At 41.4% G+C, this 23,737-nt stretch overlaps 1 protein-coding gene and 1 long non-coding RNA gene across 10 annotated transcripts in view, besides 2 other annotated features; one reads left to right on the top strand and one right to left on the bottom strand.

The window, feature by feature from the left end:
* Window positions 1-23,737, top strand: part of RAD51B (RAD51 paralog B) — an 863,318-nt gene that overhangs the window by 694,678 nt on the left and 144,903 nt on the right. The gene's annotated exons all lie outside the window — the stretch shown is intronic.
* On the bottom strand, window positions 1,851-23,048 carry LOC124903334 (uncharacterized). 2 transcript variants are annotated; one of them, XR_007064223.1, is made up of 3 exons: window positions 14,291-23,048; window positions 8,159-14,216; window positions 1,851-7,965 (listed from the first exon to the last, which is right to left on the bottom strand). It is a non-coding gene; the product is annotated as an uncharacterized LOC124903334 (long non-coding RNA). The 2 variants fall into 2 exon arrangements; XR_007064222.1 differs by having other exon boundaries at window positions 1,851-14,216.
* Window positions 11,970-12,491: an enhancer, noted in NCBI's record as "H3K4me1 hESC enhancer chr14:68993143-68993664 (GRCh37/hg19 assembly coordinates)". NCBI's record gives its function as "activates a minimal SCP1, AML or CMV promoter by ChIP-STARR-seq in primed H9 embryonic stem cells {active_cell/tissue: H9 hESC(primed)}" and the evidence as "EXISTENCE:reporter gene assay evidence [ECO:0000049][PMID:30033119]".
* Window positions 12,492-13,012: an enhancer, noted in NCBI's record as "H3K4me1 hESC enhancer chr14:68993665-68994185 (GRCh37/hg19 assembly coordinates)". NCBI's record gives its function as "activates a minimal SCP1, AML or CMV promoter by ChIP-STARR-seq in primed H9 embryonic stem cells {active_cell/tissue: H9 hESC(primed)}" and the evidence as "EXISTENCE:reporter gene assay evidence [ECO:0000049][PMID:30033119]".

The following is a 23,737-nucleotide window of genomic DNA, read 5'->3' on the forward strand; positions in this document are numbered from 1 at the left end:
TATTTACCCTGCTCTGACGCTCTGAAAGACATCATGCCTTGGGTTCCCCAGCTCCAGGCCCCGGCTTCCCTGGCTAAAAGTTCCTCCTGTGGGCGCGGCTCTCAGAGAGGGGCTCCCAGGCAGCCCTTCTAGTATCTCAGCCTCGAATCAGTCTTCCATTTTCCACTTGGGGTTTTTGTTGTTGCTTAAACGTTTATTAACTGCAGGCATTTGGCGGGTGGAAGTTGGGATTTGCCTGGGGCTGGAAGGAAGTTATTTGCCAGGCCAGGATAAGGTGTGGTTTCAGAGTTGAAACTGGAATCCCCTTCACCTGCTTAATGCATTTCAGGGGAGATTTGTTTTCAACTCCCAAATTACCTGCTAGGAATTCTAGACCTGAGATCCTATCTCACTGGCTGTTTTCTTTCATTTCCGATAAGAAATACAAAGAAAAAAGAGTGAAAGGCTCAAACACGACATTCTTGCACTCTCTTAAATAAAATTACATACAGTGAGTGATTTTCTTCCCTGTCTTCTACAAAGCAGGTAATGGGAGGGCCTGACCTAGCCCAGAAAACCTCTGCTCCTGGGGAGGTGTGCCTGGGAGCTGCAGAGAGCAGGTGATACTAAAGATATTTCTTATGTGCTTGTTGGCCATTTGTGTATCTTATTGGAATATAATTTATTTTCAAATATTAATTTTATGTCCAGCAATCTTACTAACCTTTCCTTTAGTTTAATAATTTATTTTTAATTTTGGGGGTATTTTCTATGTACAAATCATACAAAGGTTATGGGGAGTGTTAAAACTCATAAGGGAGTCTCCAGTAATCTCAAGTTCAGAAGAAACAGAGCTAGAAGGACCTGTGTCCAAGCTTGTGGAGGGTAAGTGAGCAAGAAGTTGCCTAAATGATGGTCTAACTATGAGCAACGGGACAAAGATAGACAGCAAAGACATTTCAGACATATGGACCAATAATTTCTTTTCTTCCTTTCTTCTTCTTCTTCTTTTTTTTTTTTTTTTTTTTAGAGAGATAGGGTCTCCCTCTGTCATCCAGGCTGGAGTGCAGTGGTGCAATCACAATTCACTGTAGCCTCAACCTCCTGGGATTAAGTGATCTTTCAGCCTCAGTCTCTCAAGTTGCTAGGACTACAGGTGTGCACCACCATTCCTGGCTTTTTTTTTTTTCTTTTAGAGATGGGGTCTCGCTATGTTGCCCAGGCTTGTTTTAAACTCCTGGCCTCAAATGATCATCTCACCTCAGCCTCCCAAAGTGATGGGATTACAGGTATGAGCCACCCAGGTGAACCAATTTCTTTCTTTCTTTCTTTCTTTTCTTTTCTTTTTTTTTTTTTTTTTGAGACAGAGTCTCACTCTGTCGCCCAGGCTGGAGTGCTGGAGTGCAGTGGCATGATCTCGGCTCACTGCAAGCTCTGCCTCCCAGGTTCATGCCATTCTCCTGCCTCAGCCTCCCGAGTAGCTGGGACCACAGGCACCCACCACCATGCCCGGGTAATTTTTTGTATTTTTAGTAGAGACGGGGTTTCACCATGTTAGCCAGGATGGTCTCGATCTCCTGACCTTGTGGTCCGCCCACCTCGGCCTCCCAAAGTGCTAGGATTACGGGCGTGAGCCACCACGCCCTGCCCGGAAGCTGGACCCATTTCTTTAGGCTGGCAACTCAAGTGATTATTGTTGTTTTAAGCCACTAGGTTTTAGGATACTTTGCTATACAGCAATAGATAATTAAATAATTTACCATATTAAAAACTAAAACCAAAAATAATATTTGTTCATTTAATATTTATTCATTGTTAATGAATAAATTAACATTTAGTAATTTATTAAAATGCATATATTCATTAATCCATTTAAACGTTAAAAATAACATTTTATTATAAAAATAACTTTTTTAAAAAATCCAAGTGAGAAGAGTGACAGTGTTTTACATTTTTGCAAATCTCTTGACTGTCCGGCTTAATAGAAGACAGCTGGATTCTCATATCGGCTTCTGCATTCAATCAGCTGTGATAATGTTGTTTTGGATAAAGTATGCGAAGGAAACCCAGCCTCACGTAGTTATTTTGTTGGAAAAGGGAGGAATATTTTAATAGTCTTTTCAGATAATTGTGAATATTCTTCTTTGACATTATACCAAAACTCAACCAATAGTAGATTACTAAGGTTAGTTGCAATGTGGAATCTGAAACTATATCAATGAACTTTTTGTGCTCAGTTATGTTAAAATTCAGTTATCTGGCTTGTACTCTGAATAGATCTTTTGCTCATGCATGATTTTGAAATAATATGCATGGGTCATTTGGAAAATATTGCTTCACTAAGTCATGCAGATTTTTCAAATTTGATATATTTCTTGATGAAAACTAAAAGTTCTTATTTGTTAATATCACTGATCTCATCAAAAACCTCTGTAAGTGTTGGGAAGGTGTTAAGTTCACTATGGCAGATACAGGTTTCTAAAAATTCTAATTTTTGCTTTATACTTCTATTTTGGCAGAAAATACTGTTAATTATTGTCTTTCTTGAAGTGATGAGCTCAGTTTGTTCATTTTTGAGAAAATGCCTGTCAAATAACCAAATCTGAATAACTATGGTTATTTGGTCCTTTTGAGTAAACATTGTGTTCCATGAAAGTGACTAGTGCAGATCACAACTCAGGACACTCACACAAGTGCTTTTCCTCCAGATGACCATCATACTTCAGGATGCACCAGAAATGCTTGATACTTTGTTTCCAAGTCATCACACAAAGAAAAGAAAGGGAAGGGAAGGGAAGGAAAGGAAAGGGAAGGGGAAGGGGAAGGGAGGCAGAGAGGGGAGAGGAGGGGAGGAGAGAAAAAGTACCTTTTGGGCAAGGTTTTATAAAATTAATAATTTTTACTGTCTAATTTAGGACATTCTTTGGTGAAACTGGCATTTATTCCCCCTGTAAGTTTGTAGCAGTGAAGAATGCCGTGACTGCCAGCATAGTCTAGCACCAGCAATTTTACCCAGATGTCAACACAGTGAAGAAGGCAAATAACATCTTGGTATTATTATGAAATATTATCAAAATTATGAAAATAATTTTGAGCTTGCAGACACCCTGATAGGGTCTCAGGGATCCCAGGGGACTGCAGACCTCACTTGGAGAATCAGTGCTTTAGGGAGATGGCTGTCATTCTGCTACTTGTAGCATTTACAGGTAAATGTGCTACATGCTAAGACGTATATGTACCAGGTCTTTGTGCAAAATTGTAATCACCACCATTTATTGCATAAACTAGAAAACATATCATTAGGTATCAGCTTATTCTTGTAGATGGACTAGATATGAGAAAGGCGTTTTATTTAAGGGAGATATTTTTATGCTTTTATTTGTCCCACTTGTCAAAGGTATATGGATATTGGTGAGGAAGCTAGGCTCTAAGCCATTTCTGAAACTATCAGTGTTGAATAAATAAGGTACATAAGGAAGCTAACACTTGCACCCCTTCCTTTGTAACTCTTCTACCGCCTTGATCTAGTGAGCCCTGAAAGCTCAGTGGGCTGAGGAAAACATCCTTTTTAGAGTAGCAGGGTGCCCTCAACTCCAGTCTAGAAGTGGGCAAAGTTCTCACGTTGGCAGTACCTGCAGTGTGGGACAAGAGAAGCAGCTGGCCCAGAAGGCAGCGTTTGTTCAAATGGTCATGGCACCTGTGAGCATTGTATTGCCGTGGAAGAGCTCAAGTCATTGCCTCTGCTAAAGTGCCTCTGAATTCCTACACAGTGAACTTAGAGCACAACAGGGCGGGAACATGGTTGTTTTCCATTCTTGTTCAGCTAGGCTTACACATCCTCTCACTCCCAAAAGGCAGAGTAGGCTTGCACCCCACACCTGACTGGGCTCAGCTCTTTGGCAAGTGATTGCGTAGCTGTTCTGCCTGTGACTGCAGGCCCCGGTCTGCAGGCGGGAAACAACAGGCAGTTGTGTCCTGAGCCCTGGGAACTGGAGATCTTTCCACATCTGTTCGCCTAGTCGGGGGGCGGGAGGAAATCACCAGAACCTTCAAACATGGGGCCAGAGCAGGGAGACAAAGGGGAAGCCTTAAGCCGATGGTGACCCCAGGTCATATGAGCCCCCCCCCCAGGCCTCCCCCATCCACTTTCATCCCCTCAGGTCCCCGACACTCAGCCTTTTCATCCTTCTCCAGGTCAGCAGGATCAGGTTAATGTGACTTGACCAGAAAGCTTATCAAATGAAGGCAGAGACAGGTGTTTGAAACCCCTTCCCTGCTGAAAGCTGGGTTGAACAAGGTTAGCAGCGTAGCTGAGGCCAACATCCTACACTAATTGCATTTTCTTTCTTGGAGCTCCTTCTCTTCCCCTTCTTTGTTCTCTGGCTTGGAACCCCTCAAGGTCTCCGAGAGCCAGTAACCAAAACAAACCATTCAAAAAACGAAGGATTTAGGGAAAAAAAATTAGGGGATGTGACATTCTGGACCAAACAGTGGCCCTTCTATGCCAGAGCCTAGGAACCAGCATTTGGAGGCATCCGGCCACTTCCACCCAGTGGGCATGCTGAAATCAGTTACTATGGGCTTATCAGAACTGATTGCACAAACCTTTTCCCAACTTCACAATCATGATGTCATATTTGTAGCTTGAGTTGACCAAGGTGGGAATATTTATACCACAGAAATCAGCAAGCTACAAACCAGGCTTTTCCACCTCCAGAGCCAGTTGTTAAACATTTACCGGCACACCAGTGCCTCCACTGTGGCTATTGTCACTCAAAGTATGATTCTCAGACCAATTACATAGGAATTTCCTAGAGATCAGAAATGAGGTGGGGCAGGAGGGTTGTTATTTAACATGCAGATTTCCTGGCCAACCTGAATTAACTGAATCAGATTCTCTGGAGGTAGAGCCTGGGGAAATGCTTTTTAGCAAGTCCCTGAGGTTATTAATAAATTCAATAAAGTTTGAGACTTCAGCCTTAGGGAATAGGAGAAAAGAGTGGGCGTGCATCTGACTCTTGGCATCTGGAAGGAACAGCTGGCTTCAGTCCCAGTTGGCCTAAGAATGGACAGCTGTTTTCTCTCGAGATAGAAACTTCATGACAGGAAAAGAGGTGGGAATTTTGGGGTCTCAGCTACCCACTGACAACACGACTGGTTCTGCCTTGGATCTCAGGATGAATCCATTTTCCAACTTGAGACTTTGACCCAAGACAGCATGAGCAAATGCCCAGATGTATGTAGAACGTGGAGAAAGTCACCGTCATTTGCACCATTGGTGGGACCAGTGGAGCCCAGGGAAAGCCCAGAGTCAGTTTTCTGTATTAGATTGCCCAGGACAGCATTTTTCTTTCAGATTTGTCTAGACATTTTCAGGATCTTTCCCAATCAGGCATGATTTTGTAAAGCAAAGACCTTGTTGACTTCATCCCACTGAGCTGGAAGAGAAGGTCTTCTAAGGCAGAAAGAAAAAGAGAAAAAAAGGAGAAGAGAGAACGTTTCTTTGCCTAGATGTAAAACAGAAAGTTCATAAGGAGCTTAACTCTGCTTTCGCCTTGTTTTGCACCTGCCTGAGGGAGTGGTTTAGACGGGGACAAGTAGTGTGAAAACAGAGCTAGTTAGTAAATGCAAGAGCTGGGGTTTGGACCCCAATTTTTACAGCCAAAACAAAACAAACAAACAAACAAACAAAGACCAATGCACTTTCCTCCTAAGCACAATGCAGTATTTTTTCCACATGCAGTTGGAACCCAGAGGAATCCTTAATGGGCAACTGGGGTAGTGACATAGGACATATATGCTCAAAGTACTGTGAATTCCTAAACCATCAGAGCCCCCATACCCTGGTGCAAATTCCAAAACATAATCCAAAGCCACATGTAAAACTTATGGGATTATAGGCAAGTAAATTATGAACTATTAGATTACTGGCTATTAGATTATCCACTGGAATGGATAACTGAGAGTCAACCATATTGATACATATCATTTAGGCACTCCCCATATTAGACAGTTAAGCTTGTAGCTGTTTGCTAAGTTCATGATCATGTGATCATTTCCTATACATTTGTTCTAACTGTTCAGGGCTTTAATTAAACATATAACTTCATCAAATAGGAGGAGGAAGAAACCAAATAGCTCCTCAGGAAAACAAGATATGAGCTCATATGTATTTTTTGCCAGGTTTCATGGCCTTTCTTTGTGCCCAGAAACTCTTCCTCACCCTAGGACCCATCTTCACTTTAATACTATCCATTCAACAAATACATAGTGAGGACCTACTGTGTGCCAGTTAGGGTGTGGGGAAGAACAGGAGACAAACCACCTGGTCTCATTCTCATGAATTTTACAGTCTATTGGGAAACAGGTATTACACAAGTCAATATGAAAATAAGTAAGTGATTATACATTGTCCTAAGGGCTGTGAAAGAAAAGTACAAGGTACAAAGAGAAACGTCAATAGTCCTGAAAGGTTGACTGCATCAAGAACATGTCCATGGAGACCAGGCTGATGGAGTTTTTGTTTGGATTGTTTTGGGTGGCAGGGGGTAGGGGTAAGGGCACATGGAGCGTTTTGTTTGAGGTACTTGAAAGGGAGATGTCAAGTAGGCAACTGAATATCCAAATCAAGAGAGTCTGTAGTGGAGTGGTGACTCAAGCCCGCACCTGGATGAGGTCATAGGGATGGAATGTCTGAGGAGAGGCAACAGCTGGGGCCTGCTCTCTGGGCCACCCATATGCAGAGCTCACGAAGGAGGCACTCCCAGAGAGGAGGGAGTCCCAGAAGCCATTTACAAAGGGTATTTTATGAGTGGGCAACGTGAAAGTACCAACATCAGAAAAGCACCTCAGGACCTCCAGGTCCTGACTCCCCACTCCTCCCTTCTCATGAGCCAGGCAGGCTGTCTGCAGGCCAGCCAGTGAATTGAACTGGGGCTCTCAGAGTCTGAACAGCTGGCCATGTCTTGGACAGTGCTTCATGACTCTAAGTTATTACTTTCTGTTCCTTTCCTAGTCCCTAACTCAGACCCAAGCTCTTTGCTCCCTGGAGTTTCTAAGTGTGTAGGTATTAGGAAGAGAGCAAATAAACCAGTTCACACAGATGTATGAATAATGTTTAACCAGCCAGTTCTCTTTGAGATATATTGTTGTAAAGAAGCAAAACTAAATGTCTAATCTGTGGAATTTCAGGCAACCTTATACGTTTCAGGTGGTGCCCTTGAGAGGGAAGACCTTTTGAGCTGGGGCTGCCACCCTGTTCCCTTCTAGCTTCCCTGCACTGTTCCTGCAGCAGCTTCTTTTCTTCCTCCATTTCTGAATCCCCAGAGTCTTGAAAACCTCCAGAATTTTCAGAGTGGTTCCTTTGGCACCAGTGGCCATGCATCTGACAATTACAGTAGCTAACATTTATATGTAATTGTTAGCCCCTCATATTAAACCTACATTAACCCTATGTTAAATGAAGTTAACCATAACATAGGGTTGCTGTGACTTCACAGCAAACTTCAGCCCTATGTTAACTGACTTCACAGCAACGCTATAAGGTTGGGTCGGTTACTCTTCTCTGGGTGAGGCTGTGGCTGGATGAGAGATGTTTGTTAGCTGCCTGTGGACACACAGCTGGCAGGCTGAAATTTGAAGCAGCGTCTTGCTCCCAGTCCACACTCAGGGCCGTGTGAGTGGGATGTGAGCCTGAGTCTGCCCTCCCTTGGGTTTGCTGTCCTGAGAGAACAAAAGCAAATCCGTGTTCTGGTTCTCTGAGATAGCTCTTACTAGACCTGGCTCAGTTTGACCCCTTTCTGCTGCTGGAAAGGAGGACAGTGCAGGTCAAAGCCCTGGTTGCTGATTACAGACAAGATGGGAGTCATGTGGGGTGTCAGCTTCTGTCTCCTGAGAGAGAAAACCGAAAAATGCTACCTGAATTTCCAGGATGAGGTTGAAGGCACAATCTTTTCAGGCCAAATCTCTTGGGCAGAATTGAAGAGACTGCAAAAAAAATATGGAAGTTACCCTCACCGTTTCTGGGATGTCTGAATTCCTCCCTCTCTGGAATGGAGCCGCTGGAAGGCTCCATAATCCTCCCTCTCCTGGCTCAGAGGCCCAGCTACACTTTCTAAAACAACCCAGAGCCATCTGATTTCAAGCATGTACCGGCTCGTGTGTGGAAGACAGTAATTACCTCCATTCCAGTTAGGAAAGCTGAAACCTGCCTTTTTCATGCCTCAAACAATTATCGAAGTGCCTTTTGAAGCTCTGGATAGAAGAGAAAAGCAAAACAAACCAAAGAGCCAATTAGAGCCTGGGATTTGAGGGTGGCTTAGTTTTGTGCAGTGGGACTTGGGAGGAACTGTGGGAGAGGGTCAGAGGTCACCCCAAACCTCCAGCTGCCAACCAACTTTGCCTGTGCCAAAAGAACATTATTTTGCATTGAAAATCAAGGCTCCTCTCCCTGACTCAGGAACAATTTGCAGGAACAACCTCTGCATCAGCTGTGAAGAGGGCTCCCTGATTAAATAAGGCCTGGAATGCATTTGATGTTGAACAAAACAGTTCTCTGACAGCTTTTCTTACTTGCCATTAGAATGCTTCCCCTTCAGCTGAAACTTGGTAAGATAAAGTGAATCCCCGGGGACCCTTTTGTTTTGGTGTACATATTTGAGGAATTTTTGTGGCCTGTGTTCCATTTGGAGTTAAGGTTCTTGGTCCCTGAAGTTCTTCCAGGCTTGGTGGTAGAAGCTGGCAATTCAGAGGCAGGCTGTGATGAGAGTAGAAAGCGGATACCAGGCATGAGGGCAGAGGAGAGCAAGTGGCCCTGCCCTGGGATGGGAAGCCTGAGGGCTTTTTTACAGTCCCCAAGGAGAGTTCCCTGACATTCAACACTGCCACAAGGCGCAGAGTGGAAAGTGGAGTTGGGGCATGGTGGGGTTGAAGCTGGATTAGAATGGACTTGGCCAAGATCTGTTCGTGATGTCTGGGGTGGCCTTTTGGATTAACAGGATTTGATTCACTGTGAAGGCAACGTAGCACTGTCTGGGAGGTTCCCTTTTGAGTTTGGGTGAGAATCAGGAAGACAGCCAGCACCAAAGAGCCCTGAGAGAACCCACTATGCCTTATTTACATCCCTAACCCAAACTGGATAGAGGAGCTTTCTCTTGGCCCTGGCATAAGTGCCCGGCTTTCCATCTGCCTATCATTTACCCCCTCAACAGTGGGCTTTGATGTCTACCCTCCACTACAAGAAAAAGCATTTGTAGGAATGCCTCTTGGTGTATGTGGGGGACTGCCCCTTAGTATAGGGAAAGTTGTCCTCCATACACAAAGGTTTTGTATCCTGCAAGTGCTGTATTTTCTATCTGTGTTTGGTTGAAAAAACAAAAACCTACATATAAGTAGACCCAGGCAGTTCAAGTCCATGTTGTTCAAGGGTCAAATGTATTCCTATAAAGCAAAACAAAGAAGCATATTGCTTAGGAATGTGTCTGTCGTGCTCAAAATGGAGTGAATATCAATGGTCTGGTGGCATCAAAATGGCCAGTTCTGTGACAGTAAAAGAGGTTTGTGTCTTATTTAATCTTTTGATAATAATAACAGCTATGGTGTATCACAGCTTTACCAAGTACCAGACACTGTTCTAAGGGCTTTGCATGGTTCACTCACTCCTTACGTCATCCCTCGGTGGCAGGTGCTGTAATTATCCTTATATTGCAGACAAGGACATTGAGACAGAGGTCAAGCCACCTTCCCAAGGGCACACATGGCATCTGCACTGCTCCTGACCGACCGACAGAGAGAGCTGCTGTCACGATCCTCAAATGAGCTATGCATGTCAAAAGTTTAAAAATAAAAAAGATAAAAACATGCACAAAATTTAAAAAGTAAACCATTTCAGGCTGGACAGACTGAAACTGAGAGATGGCCAGAGAAGAGTATGAAAGATAAATCTATGGACAGAGTAAACCCTGACTGGCTTGAAATTAGGGCCCTTACTCCTCCACACTCCTGACGGGTTGGTTCAAGACCAAGAAATAGAAGCACATTGTGAGTTCTACGCTGCTGCCCTGGGAAACACACAGGCTAAACACACCCACAGGCTCGAGCTGGCTTTGAAGTTGTGCCTAACAGATCCGAGATGCATGATGAAGGAATGTTCTGGATGCGTTCTTCTGAGATTTTAGAACTGAGTTAACTCACGTTCTCCTACAAACTGTCCCTTGTAGTCGCTGTTCAGAAGGATTCCAGGCTGCCTGTGTCAATGATTTGACCCCACAGGATGGTTCTTTTTTAGGTTCTGACAGGGAGCAGAAATGAGTTTTTTGACTCAAGAAGATGGACGTAGCTGTAGTTCTTTAAAAACCATTTATGTGATTTCCAGTGTTTTCTCTGAGGCAGGTCTCCAACGATTTCTCTCCAGCATGTGGCAGAGACCACCAGCTGCTTAGCAGGCCCTCAACTGGGCCAAGAATGTTCGTGATAGGGGTTTCCACCCTTTCCATCTGTGGCCTGTGATAGGCAGAGTAATGGCCTCCCAAAGACGTCCAAGTCCTGATCCTTTGAACCTGTGCATATGTTACATGGTGAGGGAGAATTAAGGAAGCAAAAAAGGTGCTAATCAGTTGGCTTTGGGATAGAAAGCTTGTCCTTGGCCAAGCATAATCACAAGGGTCCCAGTATGTGGAAGAGAGAGGCAGAAAACTCAATGTCAGTAAAGCGATGTAAGAAAGACTCAATGGGCCATTATCAGCTTTGGAGATGGAAGGGGCCATAAGCCGAGGACTGAGGGCCACCTCTAGAAGCTGGAAAAGGCAAGCAAATGGATGTTCCTCTAGAGCCTCTAGAAAGGAACATCGCCTTCCAGATGTCTTAATTTTAGCCCAGTGAGACCCATGTCAGACTTTTGGCCTCCAGAATTATAAGATAAATTTTCCTTGCTTTAAGCCATTCCATTAGTGGTAACTTTTACAACAGCAATAAGAAAGTAATTCAAAGTTATCTGGGTTTTCAACCCTCAGGTCATAGGACCTGGAGGACATTGTCCCATGAGCTGGGAAGTGAAAATCATGGTGGTCACCTTAGCATCCTTCCCACTGACCATCTGGGAATTCTCATGGTTCTCCTGGCTAAGCCCCACCTGCATATGAGCACTTCAGCCATCAGAGTTTCCCTGCAATGGGGTCTCTTCTTGACGAGTGATGTTCCATTTCTTAGCAGTGTTGCCAGGGCCTCTCCTTAGTGTGGTCCAGACATCCTATAGCATTACAACAAGCTGCTTTTCACACCCACACTCGCCCCAAATGCCAAACACTTCCAGCCAGCACAGGGTCTGGGGGATTTTTCTCCCCTTCCAGATAGCCAGCCACAACTTCAATGAGCTCCGGCATATGGAATTAGCATGATAGAACCATGACATGCCAAGTGCCGGGAGCCAACCTGAGCCATTCTTGGGTTTGAGAAGTTATCAACTGGGAAATACTTGTGATTTACAATTTTCTTCTGTCCTCCACCATTCCATCACATGAACATCCAAGTCAAACTCCTGAGCTGGGTTAAGAAATTGGAATTCCTGAGGCTCTGGTTCAGGTTCTTACTACCTCTGTGACATTGGGAAAGTTGGTTACCATCATAGCGCCTCAGTTTTCTTATCTGTAAAATGGGGAAAATACATGAGTTAATATATGTCAAGTGCTTAGTGAACTGTCTGGGTCATGTTCAGTGCTATAAAAATGTTCATTGTTGTTGTTGCTGTTGTTTCTATCGTTGTTATTATTAAATGGGTCCCAAATCTTGAGGCAAGTCATTTGGAAAACCAGCTTGTTCGTGCTTTGCCACATATAGTCATGTGCCACATAACAATGTTTTGGTCAACAACTGACCACATACAGGACTATATAGCCTAGGTGTGTAGTAGACTATACCATCTAGGTTGTGTAAGTATACTGGACGATGTTTCCACAGCAACAAACCCACCTAATGATATATTTCTCAGAACGTGTCGTTAAGCGACATGTGACCGTATTATACGTCCAGCAATTGAGATGAATTACCGTTGCACACAGTGCTGAAGCTCAGGTGTGGACACCCTCTTTTAAAATATTTTTCCCATGAACATGTCCTCCAGGAAGCAGGCTCCAGTGTGTCACAGCCAGATGAGTGATTGTTAGGGAAGACAAAGCCTGTGTTTAGAGTTATGCAAGTATAGTGGGGAGAGGGCATCTTATTGCTGACTCACGCCCACTGGCAACCCAGCCTGATTCATCTAGACTGCTGCAGACCACTCTGCATGGAAGACCTCTGCTCAGAGGATCTCAGCCCACTGCATGGCCCACCAAGAGCCTCTGACATTCAGGCCGCTTGGTTCTTCTGGATTCAGTTCTTAGGTCCCCGAAAGTGGTAAAGGAGAGAGGAGAAAACTAGTTCATTTTCAGCCAGGAGTGGCCCCTGGCACACGGGACACTGCTTGCTTTGGACAGAGGCCACTCACAACAGGCTTCCCCTTCTGGGTGTGGTGGCCAGCCTGCCCTGACAACAGTGCGGCCTGAATCTGTGACTCTTAGCGGCTGCTTGGGACTGCTGCAAGACTCTTTGGTCTGTGACTTGCCCAAGAGAGAAGTTTCTGGGCAGAACGGGGAGCTCAGGAAAGAAGAAAGTTACATCCGCACAAAGTTTCAATTATAAAGCCCAATAATAACGATGACCAAAACAAAACAAAAAACGAAACAAAATGAAAAAGCCTACATGCTCTTTGGTATTGTTGGGACTGAAAACAATGGAACTGAGTTTCTTGACTTTTTCTTAACCTTATCCCCATGAAAGAGGTTTGAATTACAGTATTTTTCAAAGTAAAAGCCATCTGAACAGCTGCCTGAACTAACCTGGGAGCCTAGACAGTTTAGCTTCTTGACCTCTGGGATGTGGGGGAAGGGGACAAAAGGAAAGAGAGAGTAGGGGAGGAGCGAGCTCCTTCTGTTTTCTGGGCTGGCCATTTGAGGCCCATGAACCAACTGAGCTGATGTCAGACTCTGGCACTCCCACTTCCAGGAGTCACAACAAAGTGGCAGGGATCAGGGGCACCCCTGGGTCTCAGAGAAGTAGCACATTGTAGGAGAAAGAGAATATGCTGTGCAGACACACCCAGATTTGTGTTTTGCTGCTCCTTTCACTCCATGTGATTTAGACAAATTACATAACCTCTCTGCAAATAGGAAAACTTCCTTGTGCCTGTTGGTCTTGGAAGGACTGGGACTACATAATGCACCAATAGAATGTCTGGAGCACATCAGATGTACAATATATGAGCAGTAGCTATTTTTATTATTAAACACAACAACCACTTGGGCCAAAGGCCACCTAATTTGTAGAATCATTGAGCCAGAAAGAACTGCAACAAGTCAGCTCATAAAGTATGCATAGAAAGAAGCCTGGAAGGAAGTTTACTAAATATTAACAATGATTATTTCTGAGCAGTGGAATTGTAAGGATATTTGTGTTTTCTTCTTTATACTCTTTCAAATTTTCCAAATTTTCTTTAGTAAATGTGTATTTTTTTATACTGAAAAACTTTAAAACATTATTTTTTTTAAAAGTCTTCCATCTCAGTTTGTGGGCTCCAGTCAGATTGCACTAAGCCATCTAAAACCACAGTCGTCCAACCTGTTGCTAAAGCCATGAGAAAAGGCTGGCACCAACCAGTAAAGAATTCCCTCCAGTCTTCCGTACCATACATCCTGAATGGAGCATAATCCCTGCATGGTTTCTAGCCCATCATAACCTTGCTACACTGTTTCATAGAAAAACTTCAGCCATTGAGAATGATGTCATTCATCATATTTCCTCTTTCTTTGCCTTTTGCTGCCAGGAAGCCTTAAACAAATTTAATACTCAATTACAGTAATAATTAACTCAGATTTTGGGCATAATTATTTTCCCTTCTTCCTCTATGGTTTAATTTTCCCTTTATTATTCAACCAACTTATTGCATATGTGACTTTCATTGTAAACTACCTCAAGTACACTTTAAAAGTTGGACATAAATCATAAAGTATAAATAAATTAAGTTTTATCTGATCTCTTGTAAAAACCCATGATCAGCCTGTTAAAATTCATATTACTAAACATCTTGACCAGTAAATGTCAGGAGGGTGGCATGAAGAGCAAGAAAGAGAAAGCTCTGAGTCAAGGTCCATATTTAGTGGGAAAAAAAATCCTGGCAAATATAGATTTGTTCAGAACTAATTATTTACCTTTTTTTTTTTTTTTTTGAGACGGAGTCTCGCTCTGTCGCCCAGGCCGGACTGCGGACTGCAGAATTATTTACCTTTTAAAATGGGTTACTTAATACTTATTCTAGTATGTCCTGTGAGCATCTGTTGGGTGTCAGGCACAGTTTTAAATGTTATTTCATTAATTTTGTGAGGTAGGTATTATCATTTCTAGCTGAAGAATAAGAAAACTAAGAATCAAACAAGTTAGATAACTTGCTCCCAGTCTCTCAGTTAGTAAGTGATAAGTCTGCAGAAGAAACCCTGGTCCGTCCAACTCCAAGGAATTCACAACCCTATTCTGTTTCATCAAATACAGGTTTTCTTTCTCTAGGTGGGTTATGTTGAAATGGTGAACCAGGCTGAAGCCACAGGTTGACTGAGTTCTAAATCCAGAAGCACAGCTAGAGGCTCCTGTGGAATGAGAGGGACTAAAATTGCTTCAAGTGCAGTGGATTACTGGGGTTAGACTCACTTCTAAAAATGAAACACTGAAGTGGGGCTTTCTTTTTTTCTTTGTTTTTGAGACAGGATCTCACTCTGTCACCCAGGCTGGAGTGCAGTGGCACAATCTTGGCTCACTGCAACTTCCTCCTCCTAGGTTCAGGCAATTCTCCCACATCAGCCTCCCCAGCAGCTGGGACTACAGGCGCGTGCCACCACGCCAGGCTAATTTTTGTATTTTTTGGTACAGACAGGGTTTCGCCATGTTGGCCAGGCTGGTCTTGAACTCTTGACCTCAGGTCATCTGTAAGGTGGAGCTTACTAGGAAAGAACGTTGAAAAACAGCTGCTGATGATATATCTGAGACTATTTCTTATAGGAAACTGTAGGTCTATGGAGGCAGGAGAAATAATCACAGCCCAGCAACCAGAAGCTAGGATGCTTTCACTACTAAGGGAGAGATCACTAACACCATAGCTGGGAAAGATCTTAAATCATCACTTGATTCTGAACCAGAGACCTCTACAAAATCTCTAGGATAGAAGAAAATGAGGAGAAAGAAGAAAGAAGACCTTACTCTCTAAATTAGTATCCAAGCAAAAATATTCAACACTAAGAAAACCAGTCAACAAAATCAACATTTGTTATCTAATCTTGTCCAAAAGAAATTAAAATAATGGAACAATCTGACTAAAACTTTAAACTAAATTTGCCTAAATACTCAAAGAGAAATAACATCTACTTTAAAAAGGATATTGTGAAATAAAGCAGGCAGAAATAAGAATTGGCAAATATGAAAAAGAATGAATTAAAAAGATAAAATACACAGATAGGATAAATTCTAGACATGAAATAGATGAAGATAAAATTAGTGAATAGGAAGATAGTATTTAAGAAGCCACCAAAACGTAGTGCAAGTCAGAGTTAAGGGCATGAAGATATACTGAGAAGCTCCAATTTTTATACATACATATGAGATAGTAAACCTATCTACCTCAAGGATAAAAATGATAGTATTAAAAGTTGTGGCTGGGCACAGTGGCTCACACTTGTAACCTCAGCACTTTGGGAGGCAGAGGCAGGAGGATCTCTTGAGCCCAGGAGTTCAAGACTAGCCTGGGCAATGTGGCGAGACCCCATCTCTACAAAAAATTTAAAAAAAAAATGCCAGTCATAATGGCATGCACCTATAGTCCCAGCTTCTTCGAGGGCTGATATGGGAGGATTGCTGGAGCCCAGAAGGTCAAGGCTACAGTGAGCCATGATTGTGCTACTACACTCCAGCCTGGGCAACAGAGAAAGACCCTGTCTCAAAAAAAAAAAAAAAAAAAAAAAGAGATAAAGAAAGAAAAAAACAAAGTTACCAGGGAGAAAAGAGAGTTATTTATAAAGGAATGATAGCTGCATTGATAATAGACATCTTACTAACAATAGATTCCAGCAGACAGTGGAGTAGTATCTTCAAATATCTGAAAGGGGAAAAAAATCACTTGTAAAGCCAGAGTTTTATACCTAGCTAAACTAGCTTTCAAGAGCCGATTTAAAAGAAAGACAGTTTTAGGATTTTTTTAAAATGAAGTTTATATCAGTCTTGAGTCTTCACTGAAAGAACCATTAAAATATGTATTATATCAAGAAAAACTCAGTTTCAAGGCAGGACATAGAAATCAAGAAACTATAGTGGACACAGAAATAAATAAGTTAAAATAGACTTACTTCAACTGACTATAAAATAACTAAATCTAGAGTTTAAAATAAAAGTTAAATAAAAAAGTAATATGTTGAGATAATATGTTAGTAGAAAGAGTATTTACTGGGTAAAGTGTGCTAAGAGTCTTGCCTTGTTCAGGGAGGAGGATAAGATATTGAAAATTTCAGACTTTGAAACATATATAATTAAATGTGTATGGTAAAACTTTAAGGTAATTATGAATAGAAAAGAACATCAATCTATAGGTTCTAAACCAACAAAGGAGAAAGCAGAATATAGAAAATCTCACCAACCTAAGAGAAGACAGGAAAGACAAAAAAAAAATGAAAGAAGACAGGAAAGAAGAAAAAAACCTAAGAGAAGATAAGAAAGAAAGAAAATAAATAGAAAACTAAATAAAATGGAAGAAGTAAGTCAAATATGATGGTAACTACAATAAATGTAAGCTGATTAAATGTGTCTATTAAAAATTGGAGAATATCAGATTAGAATTTTTAAAGTATTCAGTTATAAGCTATTTTCAAAAGACCCACTTAGGCCAAACCACACAAATAAAGAGATGACAAAAGACATACCACAAAATGCTAACCAAAAGAAAGGTGGGTGGTGTCACAGTAAGGCAAATGGAATCTTGGGAAATATATGTTAATAGGGATAGAGAGATATATAATGATATAAGAAAAGATAATATTCATGAACCTATATGCCCCTAAAAACATAACCTTGAAATTCAAAACATGTAAAGCAAAAACTAAGAAAATGTAAAAATGTAAAATTGTGTTAAATTTAAATTTATTTTTACAGAAATTTATTAAAAACATAAAAGATATAACCACAAACTGATATATCCTTTACTCAAAATCCAACAATAGGCCAGGCATGGTGGCTCACACTTATAATCCTAGCACTTTGGGAGGCCGAGGCAGGAGAATCACTTGAGTTCAGGAGTTTGAGACCAGCCTAGACGAGATAGGAAGACCCTGTCACTACGAAAAATAATTTAGAAATTAGCCAGATGTGGTGACTATTCTGGAGGCTGAGGAGGGAGAATTGCTTGAGCCTGGGAGGTTGAAGCTGCAGTAAGACAAGGTGACATGCCACTGCCCTCCAACCTGGGTGACAGAGAGAGACCCTATCTCAAAAACAAATAAAAACCAAAGTCCAACAATAGAGAATATATGTTCTTTTTTGAAAATATGTTGAACATTTACATAAATTGACATAACAGGCCACACAAAGGAAGGTCTCAACAAATTTGTAAGAATTGTTAACTTATAGAGATATTTTCTGACCACAGTGGAATCTGATTTTTAAAACTCAATAAAAGATGTGTTTAAATCTAGAAGCAAGGAGAACAATAGATTAAGCCTAAAAAAAGCAGAGCAAAATAAAACTATCAGAAATTAATGGAAAAGAAACAACAACAAAAGAATGAACAAATCCAGAAGTTGATTATTCAAAATTACTAGTAAAATAGATAAAACCCTAGCAGGGCTGCTCCAGAAAAAAAGAAAATGCAATAAATAATATTAAGAATTATAAAGAGAACATAATTTATAATGATAGATACAATTGGAATGAAAAAATCATAAAAAATAGAATGAGCAAATCTATGAACAACTTAATACTAGTAGAGGAAGTTAATGATTTTTTTAGAAAAGTAAATTTTGAAAGTTGAATCAAGAATAATTAATTAGAAAATCCAAATCAACCAATAACCCATGTAGGAAATGACTTGCTACCACAAATCAGAGCCTTCTACCCAAAAAACATTGGGCATAGGTGGATTTCTGGGATGTTTGGCCAACCTATCAAGAACAGCTAACCCTTATGTTACACAAACTGTTTGAGAGTGTAGAAGAAAAGGGAAAGTGACTCATCTTATTAGGCACTTGATACCAAACCTAAGAATACAAGAACAGACTAATCCATTATAAACATAGATGAAATTTTTCTAAATAAAATATTAACAATATTAACAGAGATGACATGTCTTAATATAGATGCAGAAAAAAATTATTTTCTAGAATTCAAAGTCCCTTTATTACATAAACTCTTAGCAAAGTAAGAATAGGCAGGAACTTCCTTAACTTGATAAAGAACATATAACCAATACCTTTATAGACAACACACTCAATGATAAAACTTCAGAAGAAAGATGATACCTACTATCACCCTTATTACTCAATATCATTCTGGAAGTCCTACCAGTGCAATGAGAAAAGAAAGAGAAATGAGGTATAAGAATTGAAAAAAAAACAGACAAACCTATCTTTCTTTAAAGATAATATGATTATTTACACAGAAAATCCATTGAATCCACTGTATAGGAAAATTATTATAAATAATAAGAGATTTCATTGAGTTTGCTGAATACAACATCCATATACAAAAGTCAACAGCATTTTCTAGGCACTAGGTAAAACTAATTGGAAGGGAGACAGAGACTGAGATTGTAGCTGGAGGGGAATGTATCAAAGTAGGATTTTTAAAGATGGGAGATTCCTGAGCACTTTGTTTGCTGTTGAGAATAATCCAGTAGAGTGAAAGAAGTTGATTGTGCAGAAAATAGAGGTGGATGACTTAGGAATAAGTCCTGGAGACATCAAGAGAGGATGGGATGCAAAGCACAAGTAGAGGTGTTTGCCTTTAAGAGAAACAGAGCTACTTCTTCCATTGTAATGAGAAGGAAGACAATTCCTATGCCAGTAGTTGTACAGATGTCACAGTGGAGGGATGAGGGAGTTTCTGTCTGATTATTTCTGTTTTCTCAGTAAGACATAAACTGAGATCATCAGTTGAGAGGGGATGATCATTGGAGGTCTGAGGGGAGAAGAGATAAATAGTGACCTCAGAAAAGTTAAAATAAACTTTACTATGGAAAAAAAAATGTAGCCTTTCTGAGCAATGTTGAGTACTCATTTGAGGACTGCAGTCATAGATTTAAAGTGTAATCAGTCAACTCAGTGGAATTACTTTCTCCATTAATCTTAAATTGCTTCAGGACTGTTTCAGCCTAAGCCAGTAGCTGGGTTTAACCAAATTTGAAGATTTTTCTAGGAGAGTTTGGCACGAGGAGAGAGGGGCAAAGGCGTGTAAGGCAGTGTTTATAACAGTGGCCCATGGAATTGATCATGGGTAAAGAGAAAACAAGGACATGCGAGGAGGTGATAAATAGAACAAAACAAAGCAAAACAAAACAAACAATAAAAACAGACAAGCAAGTGAGCTTAACTGAGTGGTCAAAAAATTATTGGAGTAGAAATACTACAGAAGGTTGGCTGGAAGGATGAAAATGGTGGTCGGCGTATAACAATTGAAATCTAGACTTGAAAGGTGGTGATGACAAGGCTAGGCTATGGCCATTTTAATGTAGCTGAAGAAAGTGGAAGAATAGATCACTGGAAGTGAGAAGGTCAGGAACTCAGAGACCAAGGATGTTAAAGTCACCAAGAACGATGACAAAAATAGGGGTGAAAGGAAGGAGTTGTATGCTCAAGTGTTTAATAAATGAATAATAGGTTATTGATGACAGCAATTCAGTGGGAGAAGGGTTATATAATGTGAAGGAATGAGCATCCAAATAGCTGTGGTTTTTAAAGGATAAAGGAGGAGAAAGGGTTTGGAAGTAGCAGTGGAAAGCAAGGAAGCCCATTTCCCTATCTACAGGCTCTGGGATATGGGACAGTGAGATAAAAAACAACCACACTTTTGGGTGCTATGGGGAAAAACCACATCCTCAGGGCCAATCAGGTTTTGGTGAAGGCGCGAAGATGAACAGAATGTTCAAAGAAGAAGATAAAGATTTAGAGGATTTCCAGAAAGCTGAGTGGAGTGGGTGGATATTGGGTCAGATATTAATAGCAGTACCAACATACCTTATCATCTGTCCTCCCGCTCCCACCCCCCCTAGATTGTAAATTCCACAAGGGTAGAGATCTTTGCCTATTTTGTTCATTGATCTGTCCCAAGAACTAAAACAGTGCCTGGAACATTGTGGATGCTCAATACATATTTGTTGATTGATTGATTAATAGTAGCTAATATTTATTGAGCACTAATGTGCCAAGGGTACTAGTAAGTGCTTTATATATATTATTATTGTTATTATTATTATTATTACTCTCCCCATTTTATAGATGAGAACATTGAGGCACAGAAAGGTTAAGTAGCTTGCCTAAGTTCATGGGACTAGCAAGTTGTAGAGCCAAAGTTCAAACACACTCTAGCTCTGGTTTGGTTCTGGAGCCTCTGTATTCTTAAATTCCAAATTACCTCACCTTTTCATGGTTGGTGGATGTACAGAACAATCTCAAAGTAGAAGCCCAGGTAATGGTAAAAGACCAAGGAGGCTAGACCTCTAGTGGAGACTGAGGTTAAAAGTTAAACAATAAATATGAACACTGATTTCAAAAGTTAGTCTAAAAGCTAGCCTAGGGCATTTGCTGCCTCTAATGTCCTATACTCTTGTTCATCTCCTATTGTGATTGTGATCAAGGCACCTTCTACTGTCAGTTCCCAGATCTTTTTATTTCCCACCCCCACCCCTCACCCCCCACATATTGCCCTTCTTCATTATTTTTAGTTTCTGCATATTCCCATTCCGACACCTGGCAAACCTGCCACTCTTTTCCACTGACTTCTCTTAAGGGCAGTCAGGTGCATTGGGACCTAATTTCTAAGCATGTGAATAGTGACACGTCGAGCTTACAGCAGGCCTTAGGATCACCAGGCTGACTCACTGTCATACAGATTCCAACTACAAAAATCATCTGGGAGCGCCCTCCGAAGTGCTAGGATTCTGCTGGCTGTTTTATGAACAGCTCATACTATGAAGTGGAAAAGTAAAGGAACATTCCAACATTTCAGGAAAACCAAGGAAAAAAATGAGTATGTGTAACTGGATGGAGGAAGCCTGGGATAGTACCACTATTTCTGTGTGAAGCCTCTCCTAACTCTCAGTGAGATACATGCTCACTAGGGTCAGGCACATGAAAGGTCTCTAGGAGCACTTGGAGGTTTGGACCAGAGATCAGGACCCACAGTGCACTGGTATTGTTGTGTGTGCTGAGGTTCTTTGGGTGCATGCAACAGAAATGCTTCTGGCTAATGTAAGCCAGAGTTTAAAAGAAGGATATAGAGGTCCCACAGGATTGAGGGAAGGCTGAAGAAGCAGTCTTAGAAATGGGTAAGAAGCAGGCAAATTCCAGAAACTAGGAAGCAGGAAACACAAGGCTCACAAGAGTCCCACAGGTCTGGTCAGGACACTCCACTTGGATGGGATGAAACTCCTGACATCTCCATTCTTTTTGTCCCTCTGTTCAAAATTCACCTTCCATTGAAGGGAGCATCTGATTGGCCCAACTTGGGTCAAAAACCTCCTAATTGCCAGCAATATCCACAGACTGTATCCTACTGGGAAAAGATAATCCGCCAAAAGGAAATTAGATTGTTATTAGGAAAGGGAGATGAGTGCTAGGTGCTCTGGCAGCCACCATTCCCAACCCCTCCCTGGATGTTTAAGAATATATAAAACATTTCAACTTGAGAAAGCAGATTGAATTTTTTTAGAAAAGAATATGTAAAACTGTATTTCTTCTCCAGCTGTACTTTCCGAGCCCTACATTGGTCTAAATGGAAGGATACCTTTCAGTACCAGCCCAGTCATGCTTTTGCATGATTACCTCTATCAAACTCTATTTCTTTGGAAGGAACTCTTAAATTTACTGTCACATAAATGTTTCCTGGTAGCTCAGGTTATCCTTTGTAAAATTCTGTCTACCTCTACAGCTTGAAGTTAATTTTCCTTAAGTCTTCAAAAATAAAAGTTCAGTCTTGTTATTGATTTAGATCCTTGTGGAAATTTTTTAGTATTTCCTTACTCTTTTAAATAGTCTTTTTCCCCCCTTTTGCTGCTTTTCCTATTGGTTTTCTTTCATTAAAAATTGAGACCCAGCCAGTCGCAGTGGCTCATGCCTGTAATCCCAGCACTTTGGGAGGCCGAGGCGGGCGGATCCCTTGAGCCCAGGAGTTTAGGACCAGCCTGGAAACAGAGATGCTGTCTCTACAAAAAAAAATTGAAAAAATTAGCTGGGTGTGGTGGTGAGCATCTATAGTTCCTGCTACTCGGGAGGCTGAGGTGGGAGGATCACTTGAGCATGGGAGGTAGAAGCTGCAGTGAGCCATGCAGTGAGCCATGACTGCACCACTGCACTCCAGCCTGGGTGACAGAGTGAGGTCCTGTCTCAAAAAAAAAAAAAAAAAAGGCACCCAAAATTTTTAGAATGACTGTCACAATAATAGCACATGTCCCTGAATAGAGATCCTACCTTAATGTTGGTTAAAGGGGGTTGCTCTTAAAAAGGAACCATGGCCAGTCGCAGTGGCTCACGCCTGTAATCCCAGCATTTTGGGAGGCCGAGGCGGGCGGATCACGAGGCCAGGAGATTGAGACCATCCTGGCTAACACGGTGAAACCCCGTCTCTACTAAAAATACAAAAAAATTAGCTGGTCGTGGTGGCGGGCGCCTGTAGTCCCAGCTACTCGGGAGGCTGAGGCAGGAGAGTGGCATGAACCCAGGAGGTGGAGCTTGCAGTGAGCCGAGATCGCGCCACTGTACTCCAGCCTGGGCGACAGAGCAAGATTTCGTCTCAAAAAAAAAAAAGGAGCCATGAATCACTGAAACAGATTTTATTTTTGTTTTTGTTTTATTTACCTCTGCAATATCCTTTTAAGATCAGTGTGATAGGAGACCCATCCTAAGGGATTGTTGGAAAAGAGGAAAAACCCTTAATGAAAAGTACTATCATTTTAGTTCTTCTAGATTTAGCCCATATCTTGAGATTAAAAAGACAATTAATGGGATATTTTGAGTGAGACCTTCACATATATGCTCCCTTTGATAAAATTTGTGTCTATGGCAGTTTTTTTTTCTTAATCGACCTTTTCATTTCTTTATTTATTAGTTTAAAATATTTCCATGTGTAATCTCATTTTAGTTTTCAAACGAATTGGTTAGAAGAGGTATTTTGTCCCCATTTTAATTATGTAGAAACTGGTTCACGAAAAGATGATGATTTACCCAAGGTCATGTAGCTAAGTGGTCAAAAAACTAGGCTGAGCATCAAGATGTCTTCATTTCTGGGTGTTTATTTAAGTCAGCGATCTCAAACTGGGGCCAGTAACACACTTAGGTCTTGCTAGGAGGGGACCCTGACTTGGAACCCACGCTTCAAAGAGCCTAACTCTGGCTCTTTCCAGTCCCATGGGCCAAAGAGCCAAGACACCTCACATTCTGGGTCCCAGGTTCCCAGAGTCCTGTCAAATGTCACCAAGTCCATTTGAGTC

The sequence above is a fragment of the Homo sapiens genome, chromosome 14 (assembly GCF_000001405.40).
Source record: "Homo sapiens chromosome 14, GRCh38.p14 Primary Assembly".
NCBI lineage: Eukaryota > Metazoa > Chordata > Mammalia > Primates > Hominidae > Homo > Homo sapiens.